This window comes from Homo sapiens, chromosome 20 (genome assembly GCF_000001405.40).
Source record: "Homo sapiens chromosome 20, GRCh38.p14 Primary Assembly".
In the NCBI taxonomy this organism is placed as follows: domain Eukaryota; kingdom Metazoa; phylum Chordata; class Mammalia; order Primates; family Hominidae; genus Homo; species Homo sapiens.
Genome location: NC_000020.11, coordinates 43,184,085 through 43,203,322, shown reverse-complemented (window position 1 = coordinate 43,203,322; position 19,238 = coordinate 43,184,085). Strand labels below are relative to the sequence as shown.

Sequence of the window (19,238 nt, the reverse complement as noted above, 5' to 3'; positions counted from 1 at the left end):
CTTTCCTTTCCTTGCTCTGCTCTGTAATCAGAGAGGCTGATCCCTGGTGGCTTCATTTTCCCAGACTCTTGTTTCAGCTGGCTTCCAGTGGTTTGGCCAATGGAAGATGCTGATTGGATGCTGGAGGCAGGGGAAAAGGAGAAGCAAGGGAATTTCTCCTCCTCTTTCTCTGCGTTAGGCAATTTCTCCAGCAGCAAAGGAGTATCCTCCTTGGCCTCAGCTTCCCCTGAACACATCTGTCAGCGTTCCAGCTTCCATGCATTCATGTACTCCTAGGCTTCCAGCACCTGTATCCATCCATCTTCGGCCTGGCAGTAGCTTCTTGCGCTCGTGTATTTGTGCGTTACCTTCCTCTCCCTTCCTGGTCTCCCAGCTCTCTCATCATCTGTGTAGCCAGTTTCCTGCATTAAATCCCCTCTGTTGCAAATACTTGAAGCAGTTTCTGTTTTCCAAGTTAGACCTTGACTGTTCAACCACTGTTTGATTAGGGAAGCCACTGTGTTTCCTCTTTGGCTCAGGTGAATTGGAGATAGGTCTCTGTCACTTACAACTGAGAGTTTGGACTAATGCAGCAGTCAACAGGAGAATAAGTACCCATCACCTCCCAAATATTTACCCGATGCTAGGCACTGTGCTCAGCACTTTGTTCTCATTATAGAATCCGTGAGGTAGAAATTATGACGACCATTTTATAGATGAGACGCAGAGACACAGACAGGTAAGTAATTTTCTCTCAATCACGTTTATTTTCTTTAAGCAAAAATTCACTTAGAACCCGCTGCTCCATGAAACAAAGGATTCCCACAGGTATGTCAAGGCTCAGCAGTGGCAAGACAAGAAAGGAGGTGAGGAATGACAAAAGACAAGTCTATATGCTATTTCGTGACCTGGCCTAGAATCTTAACACGCTTCTCCTGGGCAGGAGTGTAATGAGTAAAGGGAGCTCCATGTAAATGAGCTACAGGCATCCCTAGTAACTGTGATTCAAGTCAAGTTCTTGCCGCTAATTGCACACACATTTTGCTAAAGGTAGTAAATAGGAATCATTCACGTGACCTTAGAGACCGCGGCACCATTCAGTATTCATAGCAAATATATCACTGAGCTTCATAAGAGAATCATTTTAAAACAAAGCTTGGTCAGCTGTTTAATAATTTACTGATAGTGACAGCAGGGAGAATATCTAATAACCAGTGAGATTGGCTTTCAAATAGAAAATAAATTCATGTTAGAAGAGAGGGGGAAAGAAAGGGAAGCGGGGGAAAGCATGATTAGCAGCGAGGAAATTTTTAACATTTGTCAGTTGCTGATTTTTTTTTTTGGAATCCTAGCAGAGTGGAGAAACCTGATTATTAAGAGGTTGCATTTCATTTTAAAACATTAACGGGCCTTTAATGCTCTTCTCACAGGAAACAGGAATTATACAGAGAGCGCACCTGACACAGGGTGTTGACCCCAACTGGGCCCTGGGTGGCATCAATCTTGGTTAATCTGGGGACTTTTTGGGGGCCATATGATCTCTTCTCATATTTCAGCTGTTCCTGAGGGAGTGAGGTTAAGGCCTGAAAGACTAGAAAAACAAAGCCTCAAAGAAATAAAATCAACTCAAACTACAACTGTATATTCTCCCGCTCTGGGAAGAAACTGGCCCAGAACTTATTACAAGGGATTTGGCCTCTGGGTAAACCGAACCGTATTTATTTTTGTTTACTGGCAAAGCTCTATTGAAATGTCTTGGAGATGAAGAGTTTTGAGATGGACAGGCTCGAAGTTCACAGCTGATTCTCATATTCCTGGCCCATGATTGGGAGACACAATTACAGGAATTTTAAAAAGTCCAGGAGCTGTCAGGAGGAAAACAAAACCTAAAACCCGTAACAATCCCGAATCAGCAAAACTCCTTGTGCCTCAGTTTTCTCACCTGTAAATAGGACTAGTAAGAGAGGTGAAGGGTGGGTAATGCATGTAAGGCTTTTAGTTGCATACGTGGCTCAGAAAATGCAAGTTCAAACATTGCAGAGGCGGAAGCAAAACCAGTGAAACATCCCCAAGGTTTTCAATCCTTAAGCTTCAGTGGCAGACGGTGATGTACAGTGTATTTATGGGTAAAAGAACATCTGGAGCCCCCCCTCCTCCATCCCAGTCCTTTACACCCCTCCCCAGCACACAGGGCACACTCTGTCCTCAAACCAGTCCCTAAGTTTGCCACTCTGGAGACAGGCTTCCAGATAAGACAGATGATTTCCGTGTTCCCAGATGGTATTTTCTATGGTTTTACATTCCAAGTTGGTACCCTCGATCCTTCACGTTGATTTCAACAAACTCACTTTCACCTTGTCTTGAGTTAGTAGCATTTTTCAAGCTTAGAGAAACAATGATTTATCAACGTTTTATTTGATGTGAGAATGGCTTGAAGAAAGGTGTGCTGTCTGGCCCGTCACACCAAGGAACAATCTCTGTGCGTTCTAGAGTCCTTTGCCATTTGTCACGCCAAGGAACAATCTCAGTGCGTTCTGGAGTCCTCTGCCATCATCCCAGCTCTGTTTCACGAAGGGGAGAAGGAGATTCTGGGGGCTGAAGTTCACTGTTATCATTTGGGGTGAAATGTATTTCTGTGTTGTATAATAAAACGCTTTGTAAACAGATGCTGTTTTCTGAAACGTATGGTAATAGTACCAGCCCCATGATAGAGAGACACAATTCCAGGAATTTTAAAAAGTCCAGGAGCTGTGGAGAAGAAAACAAAACTTAAAACCAAATCAGTCCCAAATCAACAAACCTCCTTGTGCCTCAGTTTCTTCTCCTGTAAGTGGGGAATAATAAGAGAGTTGTGGGGTGGATAATGCACATAGGCTTTTAGTTGCATGCATGGCTCAGAGTAAGTACAGTTCAGTTTCACTAGATTGGCGATAGACTAACTGGCTGGTTGAAAACATTTTGAGGGTAACATGCTTTGGTACAGAGGAGGAGGTTGTATAAAAATCACAGGGTTAGGCCATGCACGGTGGCTCACACCTGTAATCCCAGCACTTTGGGAGGCTGAGGCGGGTGGATCCCTTGAGGCCAGGAGCTTGAGACCAGCCTGGCCAACATGGCAAAGCCTCTTCTCTACTAAAAGTACAAAAACTAGCCGGGCATCATGGTACGTACCTGTAATCCCAGCTACTCGGGAAACTGAAGCACGAGAATCGCTTGAACCCAGGGGGAGGAGGTTGTAGTGAGCCAAGATCGCACCACTGCACTCCAGCCTAGGCGACAGAGCCAGACCCTGTCTCAACAACAACAAAAATCACAGGGTCTATCTGGGTATGGGGGGTTAGAACAAGCATCAGATGGAGAGGACGAGGCCATATGGAAAGAGCAGGCCCCAGGTGACTGGTTAAGTCTCTAGACCACTTATTTAAGGGATTTATTTATTTTTTTTTTTTTTGAGACGGAGTCTCGCTCTGTCGCCCAGGCTGGAGTGCAGTGGCGCGATCTCGGCTCACTGCAAGCTCCACCTCTCAGGTTCACGCCATTCTCCGGCCTCACCCTCCCAAGTAGCTGGGACTACAGGCACCTGCCACCGCCCGGCTAAGTTTTTTTGTAGTTTTAGTAGAGACGGGGTTTCACCGTGGTCTCCATCTCCTGACCTCATGATCCACCCACCTCGGCCTTCCAAAGTGCTGGGATTACAGGCATGAGCCACCGCGCCCAGCCTATTTAAGGGATTTTTAAGAGAGCTAGACCAGTGCCACCAGACTGCCCGAGATTATTTGGAGAATATTCCCCTTCCCCACTCCATTCAGTCTTCATGGAGCTGTCATTTATGGCTGTCATCCTCAATACAGAGAGGTGGACAAAAGACCTAGGCTGGGCAATTATGGTGACACCCCTTCCCCTTGCCAATATCCCTGGCCAAATTGATTCATTTAGGAAATAGGATGTGAACCAAATCACCCAATAAATAGCTTTACTGGGTTTTTGTGGACAGTGTGGTGGGGTGTTCAGAAGGTCTCATTTTATACTGAAGGTGGTAAGCTGTGAGACCTGTGTATGGAGCTGTCATTGGCCGGTTTCTTTGACTACCCATAGAGAGAAGCCCAGCTGAGATACAGAGACAGACAGATAGGGAGAGAGAGGAGGCCCGATGCCATCATTCGAGTACCTAGATCCAGCTTTGCCTGAAGGTGCTCATGAAGTGCTCAGCTAAGTAAGCCACTGCGTTCCTCTTTTCACTTAAGCTTGTTTGAGTTTGGTGTCTGTCTGTCATTCATAAGAAAAAGAGTCTTGCCTAAAATACAAGGAGTGTATGTGTTCCCCACTCAGTATTTATCCTTTAAGCCCTTATAGGTGTCTGAGACACAGAATGGGCAAGATACAGACCTGGCTTGGCAGCCCTGGAGTTGTGCCTGGAGGCTCTCAACTTTCCTTGTCCCTGACACTGCATCAGCCATTCAAACACTCTTGCGTGCCTGAGAATCACCTGGGGTGCCTGTTAGAAATGCAAATTCCTGAGCCTCAACCTCCAGAGATGCTGATTCAGCTCCACACATAATTAACAAACAGCCCAGTTCTGGTGCAGGTGCAGTCCCGGGCCCCACATTGAGAAGTATGTCCGCCACTTGCCCAGCACACCCTCTTCAGTAGAATGGGTCCCATGTGCAGGGATCCCCTAAGGTGAGCAAGTGGGGGGGCATCTTTAGGAAAGTATATTAGGTTATAAGGGCGGGTGGGTAGAGCTCTGTGTAGCTGTTCCCCCAGAAACTTCTTAGATGATTTATATTTCACCTGCCTAGGGGTAGGGAGAACTCTAAGGAGTCCTTGTAGTGCTCTTGATAGAAATAATTGGGGAAGATTTAAAAATACTGTTGCTTGGGGCCTACTCAAATAAATCAGTGGCTGAGGGTGGGGTCCCAGGTGATTCTCATACGCAGCGGGGTTGAGAACCACTGCAGCAGAAATCCAGGAACAAACGGGCTCTGGGGTCTCTCCTGAAGGTCCTCTTGCCAGCCCAAATTTTCTTTGTACATCATTGCAGGGATGAAGTGTAGTGAGCAGAATTCTGTTACTATCAGGGAGTGGTTGTTATGGAAGATCTCTAGGTGCTTATCAAAATATAATAAATCAATGAAAATAACAATTACATGCCATAACACAAAGTAGCAAACCTAAGTAAATAATATTAATAAGAGAGGGCTATGCAGGAAAACATCATGAAAGTATATTAAGAACCAAGAATTCTAATTAAGCCAACTCTGTAAACCAGAGGTCTGAAGAAAGTTTGCAGAAGTTTCTATAAACATGAGGCGTTCTTTATCATTTCTGCTTCAAGTCTCTTGGTGCCTTTTTTTCTCAGAGGTTGGCATCTGCTGTTCCTTGGACTCAGGACTCACTAGAAGAGGCTCAGTGCCATGGGCAGACAGGCCACTAAAGCCTCTGGGGACTTTACCGTGGTTTCTTCCTGCCGTGGACAGCCCTGTTACTACTTTGAGCCCCCAGGCCAGGTGCCTCTGGCAATCTGACCAGAGGACAGGTTCTGCGTTGGCGTGGACAGAACCACCAAGTTACGACCTTTTGTGAGATTCAGTCTGATAAAAAGGACACATTTCCAGGCTCTTCCCTGAAGCATTGGGCTTATCAGTCTGGGGTACGTGAGTTATTAACAAGAGTTCCTGGTGGTTCTCAGGACCAGACACAGTGGGGAAGCACCACCCCATCATCTCATCCTGCACACCCGAGAGCCTTGCTGGGGTCTTGCTCATGAGTTGGTTTCCCCATAGATCTCAATAAATGGGTCACTGTCCCTTCTGTTTGATAACAGCTCATGCAGAATGTATATGGCCCTGGCAGGCAAATTTGGCCCTAGTCTTAACCCGTATGTATTGAGTGCTTGCTGTATACCATGCTGGGTTGGCTTTGGGGACGTGAGGGTGCGTAAGACAGTACTGGCATCCCTCAATGCTGTCACCCTGGTGGAGAAGGCAGATCTGCAGATGGTTCCAATAAGGATGGAATTCACTAATTCTTCATCCAGCCCACTACAGTCTAGCCCACAGATACTGCGCAAAGCTGAGCTTTGAAGGATAAGGATAAGGATGCCTGGATAAGGAAGGATGCTGCTTTTGAATTTGGCATTCCAGAGAGAAAAAACTACATGGGCCGAGGCCCAGAGGGAGGTAATGGACAGTTGTCATGTGCGGCTTGGAGCACAGGGTAAATGGAGCATGGAGGAAATGAAATGAGAACAGAGAGCGTTGCACTTAGGTCTCAGCTTTGCCTCTTTGAACTTGCAGACTCTTTCAGATCTCTGAGTACTTGCCCAGGCTGTTCCAGCCACCTGGAATGCCCTTCTTTTCTTCTCTACCTGGGAAGACTTCCCTTTGGTGAGGGGTGGTCTAAGGTGAGTTACGGAGGGTATGGGCTTAGAAAGGCAGGCTGGGCTGAGCATGGTGGTCACACCTGTAATCCCAGCACTTTCGGACGCTGAGGTAGGGAGATTGCTTGGGGCCAGGAGTTCAAGACTAGCCTGGGCAACATGGCAAAACCCCATCTCTACTAAAAATACAAAAATTAGCCAGGCGTGGTGGCACACACCTATAATCCCAGCTACTTGGGAGGGTGAGGCATGAGAATTGCTTGAACCCAGGAGGTGGAGGTTGCAATGAGCTGAGATCGCACCACTGCACTCCAGCCTGGGTGAAAGAAAGAGAAGACTCTGTCTCCAAACAAACAAAAAAGGCAGGCTGGGCCCAGCCAGTGGAGAGTCTTGTTGGTTATGGTAAGGATTGTGGACTTCATGCTGAGGGCAGTGGCGGCATTAGTGAAGGGTTTTAAGCTGGTGAGCAACAGGTTGTGGAGTGACTGTCTTCTTCAACAACCACTCTGGCTGCTGTGTGTGGGGAGGGGTTGGGAGGGACAAGACTTCAGGCAGTAAGAAGCTAAGTCAGAGCTAAGGTTGCTGCGGGGAGGTGGGGAGAAGCAACAGGTTCACAAACATTCTGGAATCTGAGTTGGGAGTCAGGGACCAGGAGAAGGGCCGAAGCCCTTTTTATTTTATTTTTTTTTGAGATGGAGTCTTGCTCTGCCACCAGGCTGGAGTGCAGTGGTGCGATCTCGGCTCACTGCAACCTCCGACTCCCTGGTTCAAGCAATTCTCTTGCCTCAGCCTCCTGAGTAGCTGGGATTACAGGCATGCGTCACCACACCCAGCTAATTTTTGGATTTTTAGTAGAGACGGGGTTTCACCATGTTGGCCAGGATGGTCTAGATCTCCTGACCTCAGGTGATCCACCCACCTCGGCCTCCTAAAGTGCTGGGATTACAGGCATGAGCCACCGCACCTGGCCAGGGCTGAAGGTCTTGCGGGGACCTCAGTGCTCTGAAAAGGCATGTGCTCAATTCCAGGGCACCAAGCTGTTACACGAATGGTGGCTTTTTGCTTGCTTCATCAGAGAAACCACTTTGCTGGAAGCAAGAAGTAAAGCCTGGGGCCATATCTCAATCATGTTTGACATCCATTATTCAACCCCTGACACTAACACCACCCTGTCCCCAGTGTGCTTGGGTGACCTCTCAGTGTGGGCGGACTGTGGCCTCCTTGCAGATGGGATCACTTTATCTTAACATCCCCACTGCCCAGCAATGAGGCCAGGTGTCAGTCAGAAGTGAAAACACCTGTGATGGGTACTTGCCACCCATCACTTAGCTTTTTAAAAAAATTACCAGAAACAGCTGTTTGGCAGATGCCACTCGGGTGAGATGCAGTGCTGGCATTAAATCCAGGACACCTCAGACATTGAGGTCTACTTGGCAACAATCTGGACCACGTGTTGGTATTTTGGCCCAGGGAAGAAGCAGCTGGCCTTCCGTGCCATGTTGCTGTCCAGGTGTCTATGACAGTTGGTCTAGAGTCAAGGCTGGGGTGATCTGGTGAATTTAAGACTTGGAAGTGGGAAGAAAGGAAGGGAAATGGGCTACGGAGTGGGCCAGCCCTGTACTAGGCGTGTTCACATCCATTAACTCACTTAATTCTCACTCAGCTCAGCGAGGTGGGAATAATCACCCAATTTCACAGATGGGGAAACACATTTGGAGAGGGAAAGTGATGAGTGTGTGGTCACTTGGGTGGTAAATGGAGGTGTGGAGAATGCAGGCAGGTGCAAGGCCTCCCCAGAAGAGGGATGTTATCAAAATGGAGCATGGCTGAGAAGAGGAACCAGGTGCCGTGGGCCTGAAAATCTATCAGAAGAGGAATGGGAAGGGTTTTAAGAAATTGAGTATGCTTACCTGGAGCACACCCAATCTCCAAACGAAGGTCACCTGGAAGGGCATCCCGGCTGTTACTTCCCCAGGAGGCAGATCCAACTTTGGAGGGAGAAACTATCAATCGGCAGTATCGGTAAAGCTTTAGGGAAATCTTTCTAACCACAAGGACCTCAAACTGGAAATGGATTCCGTTACAAAGTCCTGATTTTGAACGGAGTGATATTATTGGATACTACATGCTTTTTTTTAAACAGAAAAAATGGTTGGATCATGAGGTTAAACCTGAAAATACTTAAGATTTCTAAGTTGCATTTGGGTTATTTATATTTGCACATCTTGACAGACAGCATTAATGCATGTTAATATTCCTGCCATCAAAACATTACTCAAACCAGAACTACTGGCTCTGAAAGCATCTGCGGTGTGTGCACAGTCACTCTGCTAATAGAAAGGTTAACTTGTATTTTTGAATTATTGATGGTGGCTTGTTACTAATATCTTTTTCCTCAGAAAGGAGGAAATTATTAATGAAGAGATCATTGCCAATGTGTCTGACATCTATTAATGGTTTCATCTTGCAACCAGATTAAAAGAGACAGCTGGTCCATGAATTTATGTGTGGAGGCAGCTCCAAATGTGCTGACAACTCCGTGGGAGGGCGGGGCCGATGGCAGTGGGGCCTGAGCATGGCGCCGGGGGCTGGTACAGGGTCCTCCCCTGGTTGGCACAGCCTCCGTGGAACGGCTGTCAAAGGTTTTGCTGCTGAGGGACCAGGCAGCAGATGGGCTATCACTCTCTTGGCATCTTTCCAAACTCTTCTGTTACCCACAGGAGCCCATTCGCACCCTCACCGTACCAGTCACTTGTTGGCATTTGCTCTGTGTTTTGGAACAGTGGTTTCCAACTTGAACATGCATGAGAATCACCTGGAAGGCTGGTGAAATGAGAGCCCAGGCCCCACCTCCAGCGTTTCTGATTCAGCAGGCCTGGGGTGGGACCCAAGAACTTGTATTTCTAACACGTTCCCAGGTGAGGCTGATGCTATTGGTTCAGAAACCACACTTTGAGAATGAGTTTTAGATCAATAATTGTCAAATTGTGCTGTAAGACTTCCTCTAAAGAAAGGGTTGGCAAACTTTCTATGAAGGGCAAGACAGTAAATATTTTAAGCTTTGTGGGCCAGACTATCTTTGTCACAATCACTCACCTCTGCTGCTATATTTCAGAGAGCGGCCGTAGGCAATATGTAAATGAATACAGGGGTTTGTGTTTCGATAAAACTTTATAAAAATAGGCAGTGGTCCAGATTTGGCCCATGGGTGGAGTTTGCTAACCTCTGCTCTAGAGCAGTGCTGTCCAGTAGAACTTTCTGCAAAAAGCAGACATAGGCAGTATGTAAATGAATAAGCATGGATGTGGCACAATAAAACTTTATTTATAAAAACAGGCAGTGGGCCAGATGTGGTAGAGGTTTGGTGACCTCTGTTTTAGAGCAGCACTAATAGAATTCTCCATGATGTTGGAAATGTTCTGTATCTGCACTGTCTGATACAGCAGCCACTGGCCACCTGTGGCTACTGAGTACTTGAAATGCGGTGTGGCCAAGCACTGAAATGCTAAATTTGAACTTTAAATGACTAGTGGCTATCTGTGCCACAGCAAGAAGACAGGCTCCAATGGAGCAGCCACCCCCAACACAGGAAGTGAACCTTCCCGCCCTTCCTACATGGAGAGTCTTTGCCCTTCTTGAGCTTCAGTGTCCTCATGTGTAAGATGGGGATCAAACAATAGCTACATCACTAGACTTTCCTCACTGGACTTTATTTGATACTTTAAACATAGAATACACTCTACTAGATACATGGTTTGGAAATCTAATTAGTAAGGCACGTGGCCCCAGCAGATGTCTTCCCCCTGGTGCTCTGCTCCCCACTGGAGGGCTGACCGCTGGGGGCGAGGCAGGGCTGGGGAGATGGGGACCAGCTCTGGGGTTGTTACCCCTTTCTCTTTGTCCAGTCTCCTCCACCAGATTGTAAGCTACATGATGGCAGTTACCATGTCTGTTGTTTAGGCTGCAAACCCACAGCCCTAAGATCCCTGACACACATCAAAAGGCCAGCACACTTGTTGAAAGGATGCCCCAAGTTTCAGGTTTCCCCTAAAACTGCTCGACAGAGAGATCTGTAGCTGAAATGTCTGGACACTCCTGTCTTGGTCCCTGACACAACTGAAAGGGAAGCCACTGGGCAGATATGGAAACTGACACACGGAGAGGTCTCGCCAAAGGTTTCATGGGGTTAAGGACACAGTCCAAAGATAAGAGGCCTGCTGTCTGAGCATAACTAAAAGAGTTTGTAGGGCAGAATGCCATCTCTTACAAAGCTCACCCTGCCTCCTTCCTTCAGCACTGATGCAATGCTGGGCCCAGCCCCTAGCCAAGCAAATCTTGGTCATGTCCCAGCTCCCTGGGCTGATGGGGTCAGAGGGGAAAGAGGGCTCCCTGTGCAGGAGGGTGGGAGATGATGCTGTAACTTTCCATTAGTTCCCTCCCCTGAGAAGCCAGCTAGCTGGAAGCTTTGTGTAAGGCATCTTCAGCCCTGTGCCAGCCCTCTCTCTCCACCCCCACACCCCCATCTCCTAGCAGCCCTGTGGTAAGTGTCCAGGTTCCCTTTGGCAACTCAAGTCTTGTAGAACACATGAAGAGGAGACAACATTTCCACAATGTAAAAAGCACCACCACAGTGACCTGCGCTGGGGAACATGCCTTGAGCAGGAAGGGCCCGCTGGCCAAAGTTCCAAAGGGAAGCCCTAAGGGCTAGTGTGAGTTTCCCAGGGAGATGATACAGTGCAGGGCTTCCAGGCAGAGGGACTGGCCGGTGCAAAAGCGTGGCAGTGCTGTGGGTGCCAGAGCCTGGCCGGGCAGCAGGTGGCAGCACGTGCTACTGAAGGAGAGGGGGCAGTTTCTCGGAGTAGAGGGAGGTTTAGAAAGCACAGAGGGTCACGGTTCATGACCACGGTGCACCTGGGCAGGTAAGTCCTGGTGCAGGATCAGGTCCCACTCCACCAGCTCAGTGACTACTGAATTTTTTTTTTCCCCTCGGGGCCACATGAACCCCATTCAGACCTGGGGGATTTGTCTGCAGTGATATCACATCCCTAAAGCAGGAGTGCAGGGGGGTGCCAAAGGGCGTTGCTCTGAGGATGCTGTGAGAACTGCTATTTTATAGTTTTCCAGAAAGCTTGAGAGAGGGGATGAATTGGCAGGAGCCCAAGAAAGTGGCAACAAGTTACAAGTGTGACACCAAGCTCTTTAGTGGCTTAGAAATCTCCCCACCCGGGTCATCCCCTGGGATCTGCCATGACTGGGGTCGCTTGTGGTGGTCTTGGGTCAGGCCTCTCCTCGCACACTTCCTAACTGCTCATCTGCCCAAGGCAGGGTTAGAATGAGTGAGTGATGGAGCAAACAGCTGGAAGCTCAGCTCTGAGCAGAAGGGATCTTTCCATTCCAATTGTCCCTAAGGGCTATAGCATTGTGGTATCCCCAGAGAACAGCACAGAGTAAGGCACACAATTAAATGCACCATAAATATTGGTAGAATTATTAATCTCCAAAGCAGCTTGTAAAAGGTTCAACTCCCAGGCCACCCCCGACAGGCCTGCCAAATTCCACTCTCCCCAGCAGGGGTCTGGGAAGCAGGACTTGGAGAAATCTTCCTGGTAGTTCTTTGACCAGGCAAGTGTGGGAGGCACTGGCTGGTCCAACAGGCTAGTCCAAGCACGTCAGCTTTTGAAAGTGGTCACGGTCATGGTGGTGGTGGTGGGAGTCGGGGTCCGGAGAGGGGTGGAAGAATTTGCCTGGGATTGTAAATTGGGCTTCCATGCCAGGGAACTGGGCCACTTTACCTAGTGGGGACTGGGAACTGGGGACTGACAGAGTGACGCCCTGTGTTCTCTGCCATGCCAACTTGGGTCCAGAGCCTGGGGCTCCCCACTTTTGGAAACCCTGCCATGCTTGATTTTCACAATTCACTTACAGTCTCCCCAGTCCAGTCCCTGGTACCCCAACAAGGATGGGGGTGGGGGGCTGTGCTGACACAGAAGAAGGAGGGCTTTGGCCAGGTAGCAAAGTGTTCACAAAGTGTGAATCCCTTAAGCATTTCTGGGTATCCCTGCCCCTGGCTTTTACATCTCAGACCCCCAGCCAAGACTCAGGTACCAGCTGCCTCCCAGGACAGCAGAGAGCCAGGCTGTGGGCCGTGGGCTGCCAGGGACAGCTCCAACCCTGATCTATGGTTTTAGGCTTTCAGCCCCAACCAGGTCTTTGTTAAGACCGAGAAGAAAAGGGAAAAAGCTACAAGGTTCTGTCTCCCTAGAAAAGGAAAGGGAAGGCTGCCAGGGAAAAATTGTAGGGGGTGGGGGGATGCCTCATGCCCCTTCTGCGCCCCCTTCCGCGTGGTGGTGGGGACAAGAGAGAGATGTGGGTGAAGAAGAAGGTGGGGTGGGCGGCTAATTGAGGGGGACGACGATTGTGGCGCGGTCAGCGATGCGCCCAGAAGAGTGTGAGTGGGTTGTGTGTGTGTGCGCGCGCGCGCTCTTAGATGAAATTCTCATCTCAGGGTGTGCCCGAGACCCTGGCCAGCAGCCGCCTGCCCCAGCTTTGGGCAGACGCCCCCACCCGCTTTCGCAATTCACCTGGCCCCTTATCTTGAGTTGCGAGGGCTGCTCCCTCCCTCCCTCTTCTCGCCACCGAACCCCCATTCACCTGTTCCCCACCCCGAGTTCAAACGGCTGCTGCAGCTTCCTCCTCCCCGCACCGCCCCCGTACCTGCGCCCCCACAGGGCAGACGATGCTTGGCTGCGCGGCGCGGCGCGGGGCGAAGAGGCGAGGACCCTGCCCGGCGTGTGGGTGCGGGGGTGATGTGTGGACGCGCGTGACTGTGCCAGCGGCCCGAGCTGGTCGGCCCCGGAGAGGGTGCGCGGGGGAGCCCGCGTGTGCCAGCCGCGGGCGTGTGCCAGGCGCGGGCGTGCGCGTGAGGGTGTGTGCACGGCCGAGGCGGAGCGCCCGGGCGGGCGGCGGCGGCGGCGGCGGCGGCAACGGCGGCGGCGTTAGGACTCGGGGGACACCGCCCCCCGCCCCCCGCGTCCCGCCCCCGCCCAGCCTCCCGCCTCAGTTCGCGCCGCGCCTCGGCTTGGAACGCAGGAGCGCCGGCTCCGGGAGCCCGAGCGGAGCCAGCCGCGCGCACAGCCAGCGGCCGCGCCGGCGATGCGGGGCCACCCCGCGCCCGCCCCAGTCCCGGCCCCGGCCCCCGCGGGAAGGGGCTGAGCTGCCCGCCGCCGCCCGGATGGCGAGCCTCGCCGCGCTCGCCCTCAGCCTGCTCCTGAGGCTGCAGCTGCCGCCACTGCCCGGCGCCCGGGCTCAGAGCGCCGCAGGTGAGTGCGCCCGCCCGGCTCCCCTGGGCTCCCCGCTCCCTCCTGGATGCGCGCGGGCCCCCAGCCGCGGGGCCCTCGGAGGAGAAAGTTGTGTGGGCTCGCGGGGGCGCGGGTCCCCATGGCCGGAACCCGGGTCTCAGCTTGCAGGCGCGGGAAGCAGTGTCCCCGCGCGCCCCGGCCAGCGAGCCCGGCCCCTCGCGTCCCTCGGCAGCCCGCGTTTGGCGAAGTTCCCCGCTTCAGTTTCCTGCCGGCCCCCCGGGCTGGAGTAACTTTCCGCGGTTGTTGCGAATATTTCCACTTGCTGCCTCCCACTTGTCGGAATCTGCCACTTGAGTGTTTGGGGCGGCGAGACGAGGAGCGGCACCGACGCCCGGGGTGGAGCGTTCTCTCCCGGGCAGCTCCTCGGGCAGCGCGCGCTTTTAGTGGGGAGGACAGGTCCCCAGCAGGCCGAGGCTGCCGGGGCGGCGGCTTTTCTTTTTTCCTCGGAGATACAGGAAGCTCTCCATTTGCTCTGAACACGCTGCTCCCCTAAGCAGGCCGCTGTAGGCACCCGAGGGGATGTTTGCGTTGATGACCGAGAGCAATACCTCCGCCCTACCCGCTGGCTTTTCTCCGAGGTAGCTGGGCGCCCGTGTTAAGGCCCTTGGAGGGGAGTGGATTTGACCCGTGAGCGCGTCCGCTCCTGAAAAGTTCGGGGAACTCATATTTGGGTTTGGCCACGGGAAGGCGGTGAGCAGAGGTAGTTCCCCAGAGTAGGGGGAGCGGGGGCGGGGGGGTGGTGCCTGCCGTGCTCCTAAAGGCACGTTGGCGGGTGCTGGAGGGCACCACAGTCCAGGGTCTTACACATCACCAAGCCCCACCGCAGGCAGCTTCCACCCCCGAGCCCCCCCCCCCCCAAGAGTAGCGGCGGAGGGAAGAGAAGGGAGTGCTGCAGGTGTACTTCCAAGTTCAAAATCACCTTAAAGTTTCTTAGCACCGATTGCTTTTGGTGTAACCACGCCGGCCTGAGGTGGCTGGGATTGCGGGGACAGGCTGAGATCAGCCCGTGGGACGCAGGAACAGGCTGGTTTCGGATCGCTAAGCAACAGCTGTGCCCATTTATTATTTCACCGAAAGAAGGAAAGGAAGAAAGAAAGAGCAAAAGAACGAACCTGTGGGGAGGTACAGCGTCTTTGCACAAGCTGCGTCTGAGGTTAAGGGCCGCTGGAAGGACATTCCGTTGGAAATGCTTTAGAGCCTTCCTTGCTTGGTACTAAAATGGAAGCGGAATAGGCGACTTCTGTGAAGGGACAGCCTGTTTCCCTGGCTGGGAAGTTGGGTGACGAAGACACTCCTTTTGAGGTGTGTGAAGCTGAAAGGTTGGATTAGCAAGTGAGAGAAGAGGGACAGCTACAGCACCATTCTAAAGATGGTGCACAATTCTTGTTTTCCTCATTTTGGGGGGTGTGTTAGGTGTGCTAGGGGAGGGAGGGGTACTAGGGAGGATGCCCGGGGCAGTCCTGGGGATCCAGGCATGATTCGTGACTCAGATTTTATATCCTCTAAGGCATGACCGGCCAACCACACATTAATACCACTCACGTTCCCGCGGCAGAAACAGGATCAAAAATATTCCATCACGGGTCTCGAATCGTTCTTGGGTAGCAAGCGGTAAAACCCGTACCGGCTCGGGAAGCTGTCCAGTGCTGAACGCCGCCCGTTCCGGATGCTCCCGCCAGGTGGCGCTCGCCCACAACTATTAAAATGCAAATCTGGTTGCTTTCATATCAGGAATAGAACTTCTTTTCAATTTTTAAATGAGTAATGTGTTTATTCAGCAGCCTTTTGTTAAAACATTTAGAGAAGTGTGAGGAGCGAGCACCTTTTCTTTGTTTGCTCTTTAGAATGCAGGAGAAAGAAAAGAAATCCTGGAATATGGTTTGGGAAGAAATCTGTGGTTCTTTTGGGTCTACCTGGGCAGGGTGGTTTCTGCAAACCTGCGATATAGCATATATTTAGCAAGTGGGTGCCTTTGTGCCAGGGGCTCCTTAAACGAATGGGATTAGCTTGTATTGGAGAACTGGTGCATTCTAAGCCTCACACATTTGTAGAAATGGGGATTTTCTGTATATATCTGTCCTCTCCTTTCCAGTTTAACGGCAACTAGACCATCTAAATTAGATTTTTTTTCCCCAGGGTTCCTCATGAACATCTGTATTTGTCAAAACAAGAATACTGTAAATGTTGACTTAAAAATGGACTTATCTTATTTTATTCCTAAATTCAGAAATTGTTAGTATTTCAAATCTAGTATAAATATGACAATAACTTGATTTCCTTTAAAGTATTTTATTTAAAACTTTTGGCAAGTTTGGACAAATACATTTTAAAACTAAGTAGTGTGTTTTCCATGTTCTTTTGATCTGAAAATTCCCAATCTTGAAAGCAATTTCAATTTATAAGGTTACATCCATAACATAGTTGGGCTAATATGTTTTGCTGTAACATGTTGGTCTCAGTGTCCAAAAGTCGGGGCGGAAGCTTGTCATCAAAAGGCAATTTCCTTTTTCCTTACTCTAAGACATATTTCTTGAGCCACGACGGTTTTTGGAAGGAATGATAGTAAAAATCAAACAAACAAAAAACCTTTAGAAACAGCCTCTTAACAATGTGGCAAAACATGATTTGGGATGGGGGAAGAGAGAGACAGTTAAATGAATAAGGGGATAATGAATTCATTTACTAGTGGGTTTCAGAATCCACATATTGAGAGCAAAAATGTATCTTATAGGGGACTGACTTGCAATTGCAATTGTTAGCAATGTAGTCATTTAACTCAATAATCACCGTTGGATACCTCTGGGGAACTGTTAGCAGTACAGTCGAATTTTACTTTCTGTCATGGATTGCTTGATTTGTTTCCTAATAAAAGAACAATTAATGTGCAAACGTGGCTTAAATTCTGTTCCAGCAACAATCGCAAACACATAGTAAAAGCAGACCATATTCTTGGGTTACAACCGACTCTCTTTCTACTCAACTTAATTTCTTCTTGCTTGTACTCAGCACAGCTCTTGAAGGTGTCAGGCTGCCAGCTGAGATGGTATTCCATGTAGTCGTATAGCTGTCACCTTTCACAGCCACGATCAGAGGACATGACAGCATCACTCTTTCAAGCACAGGATACTCCCCTGACTCCGTGACAGTGTGTTGCTGTGGAAACAAGAGCAATGCTGTGTAGGCGGTGGTCCTTGATAAATATTTACTGATGATGGTGAAGAGATGGTAGAGTCTCACGGCAGCTATAATGGGGGGGCGAGGGTGGGCGCAGGGGAATTTAACTCAGGAGGCAGCCTGGTTTGGAGAAAAGAGTATGAGCTTTGGCATCTGAAGTCCTCAGTTTAAATCCCGCCTCTGCTTCTTTCTACCTATGCCGGCTTGGGCAAGTCATTTACCTTCTCAGCTCCCCAGCTTCTCATTTGTAAAGTGAGGATAATTATAGCTGTCTCGCTGGACTTTGTGGTAACCAAATAAGATGCAATATGCAGAGTGAATGGAAGAGTGCCTGGTACATAATAGGCACTTTGTCCCAAGAGGAGCCTTGTCTGTTACTGACCTCAGCACAGGTGTATGTGCACAGGCCAAGGCGGGTGGGGCATCAGTCTTATGCTAAATAGTGAACTGGCCATGAGATGGCTGGGTTTGGTGATGATTTTTAGTTTCCTTTTTTTTTTTTGAGATCAGTCTTACTCTGTTGCCCAGGCTGGAGTGCAGTGGTGCAGTCTTGGCTCACCGCAACCTCTGCCTCCTGGGTTCAAGCAATTCTCCTGCCTCCGCCTCCCAAGTAGCTGGGATTATGAGTGTGTGCCACCATACCTGACTAATTTTTGTATTTTTATAGAGACGGGGTTTCACCATGTTGGCCAGCTGGTCTTGAACTCCTGACCTCAGGTGATGTGCCTACCTCGGCCTCCCAAAGTGCTGGGATTGCAGGTGTGAGCCACCATGCCCACCCAGTTTTCCTCCTTTTCCTCTTTTCAGGGGCTTGATTCCCTGCAACTGCTTTTACAAAGAGATTGCCAATGAAATTTGCCAACAGATGACACTAGTAAATCTGGCCATTCAAGGGTTTAAATAGGGAATGTTGACTTTTAGGCATATTTTACTCTCTGACTTAGAAGTGTTGATAAACCACAAATGGCTACATATTGCGTCAGGACACAACATTTGGATGCATTCTGTTTCCCTTCCTACACTCTCCCGTGTGCAGCCTTCCTTGCTTTTCGGCTCTGTCCTCTGCTCTTCCCTAACCTGGAGATCAACTGCACAGCACTCTGGGGCTGTGGGGGAAAAAGATACTTTGTGCACTTGATAAACAAGCAAAGAATAAGAAAACAAACAAGGGCCATGGCATTCCAATAAATAAATTAAAAAGCTCTGAGATTATTGAGAACAAACCATGTCGGACAAGTATAATAGCATTTGCAAACACCTTACAGAATTGGGTCCAGGAGGCAATACCACATAGATATTAGAAAGCAGTTAGCGTGTCTCATGAAATCTTACAGAATGGATTCAGATTAGTATGGAGAGGAAGAAAGCCACATATTTTCAATGGGTTAACAAAAATCAGATACAGCCACAGGGACAGGGGTTCATCAATAGTGTGTGTGTCCAGGTGGGTTAGGGTGACCGGTTAGGATCATGGGTTTCAGCATTTCATATGGTCCTGCTGGACACTTTTATTTGCCAGTAGAGGCAGAAATGAGCAGGATAATGGCATTTATTTATTATCTATTGGTAAGAGTTGCAGGTGCTAAAGAGGATACAGAGGGACCCAGTGAGGATTCTAGATATACATTCCAAAGGGACGTAACAGAAGTCAACCATGAAAAATGGGAATCGATGTGTCAATACAGCGGGACAGGGAAAGAGGTGTCAGTGAGGCATGGTGATCATTAGGGCCTGTTTTTTTTTTTAGACAGAGTCTCACTGCTCTGTCGCCGGGCTGGAGCACGGTGGCGTGATCTCAGCTCACTGCAACCTCCATTTCTTGGGTTCAAGCAATTCTCCTCCCTCAGCCTCCCGAATAGCTGGGACCATAGGTGCACGCCACCATGCCCAGGTAATTTTTGTATTTTTAGTAGAGACAGAGTTTCACCGTGTTAGCCAGGATGGTCTCAATCCCTCGATCTTGTGATCCTCCCGCCTCGACCTCCCAAAGTGCTGGGATTCCAGGTGTGAGCCACCGCACCCGGCCCATTAGGGCCTATTTTATCTTCAAATGTGAGCATTATTTCAGTTAGTCCTTCCTAGGTATATCCACACGGAAGGGCTGTGCAGAAACCCCATCAGATGCACCTTCAGACTGGTAAGTCACCTGGAAATTGAAGCAGTCCCCCAGTGTGGCAGACTTAATTTTTTCTCACACTGAAGCCAGGCTGCTAAAGTGCGTGTGACACACAAACACGTCCCCTGGAGCATAAGTGGAAGAGATGCAAAGTCTCACATTTCTTGAATATTCAGTTGACAATTTTTGTTTGATGCTGGAGGGAATAAAAAATGGTGGAGTCACTTTGGTA

General features: G+C 49.7%; 1 protein-coding gene and 1 long non-coding RNA gene across 8 annotated transcripts in view; one reads left to right on the top strand and one right to left on the bottom strand.

Moving 5' to 3' along the window:
* Positions 1 to 723: 723 nt before the first annotated feature.
* On the bottom strand, positions 724 to 13,258 carry PTPRT-DT (PTPRT divergent transcript). Of its 2 annotated transcripts, NR_186414.1 has the most exons (3): positions 13,073 to 13,258; positions 4,366 to 4,474; positions 724 to 2,727 (listed from the first exon to the last, which is right to left on the bottom strand). It is a non-coding gene; the product is annotated as a PTPRT divergent transcript (long non-coding RNA). The 2 variants fall into 2 exon arrangements; NR_186413.1 differs by lacking the exon at positions 4,366 to 4,474.
* The window catches only part of PTPRT (protein tyrosine phosphatase receptor type T), a 1,158,017-nt gene continuing 1,152,195 nt past the window's right edge, over positions 13,417 to 19,238 (top strand). For all 6 annotated transcript variants that reach the window (XM_047439848.1, NM_001394024.1, NM_007050.6 and 3 more), the window contains exon 1: positions 13,417 to 13,677. In XM_047439848.1, coding sequence (XP_047295804.1) covers positions 13,590 to 13,677 — 88 coding nt within the window. In that variant the 5' untranslated portion in view covers positions 13,417 to 13,589. The remainder of the gene's footprint in view (positions 13,678 to 19,238) is intronic.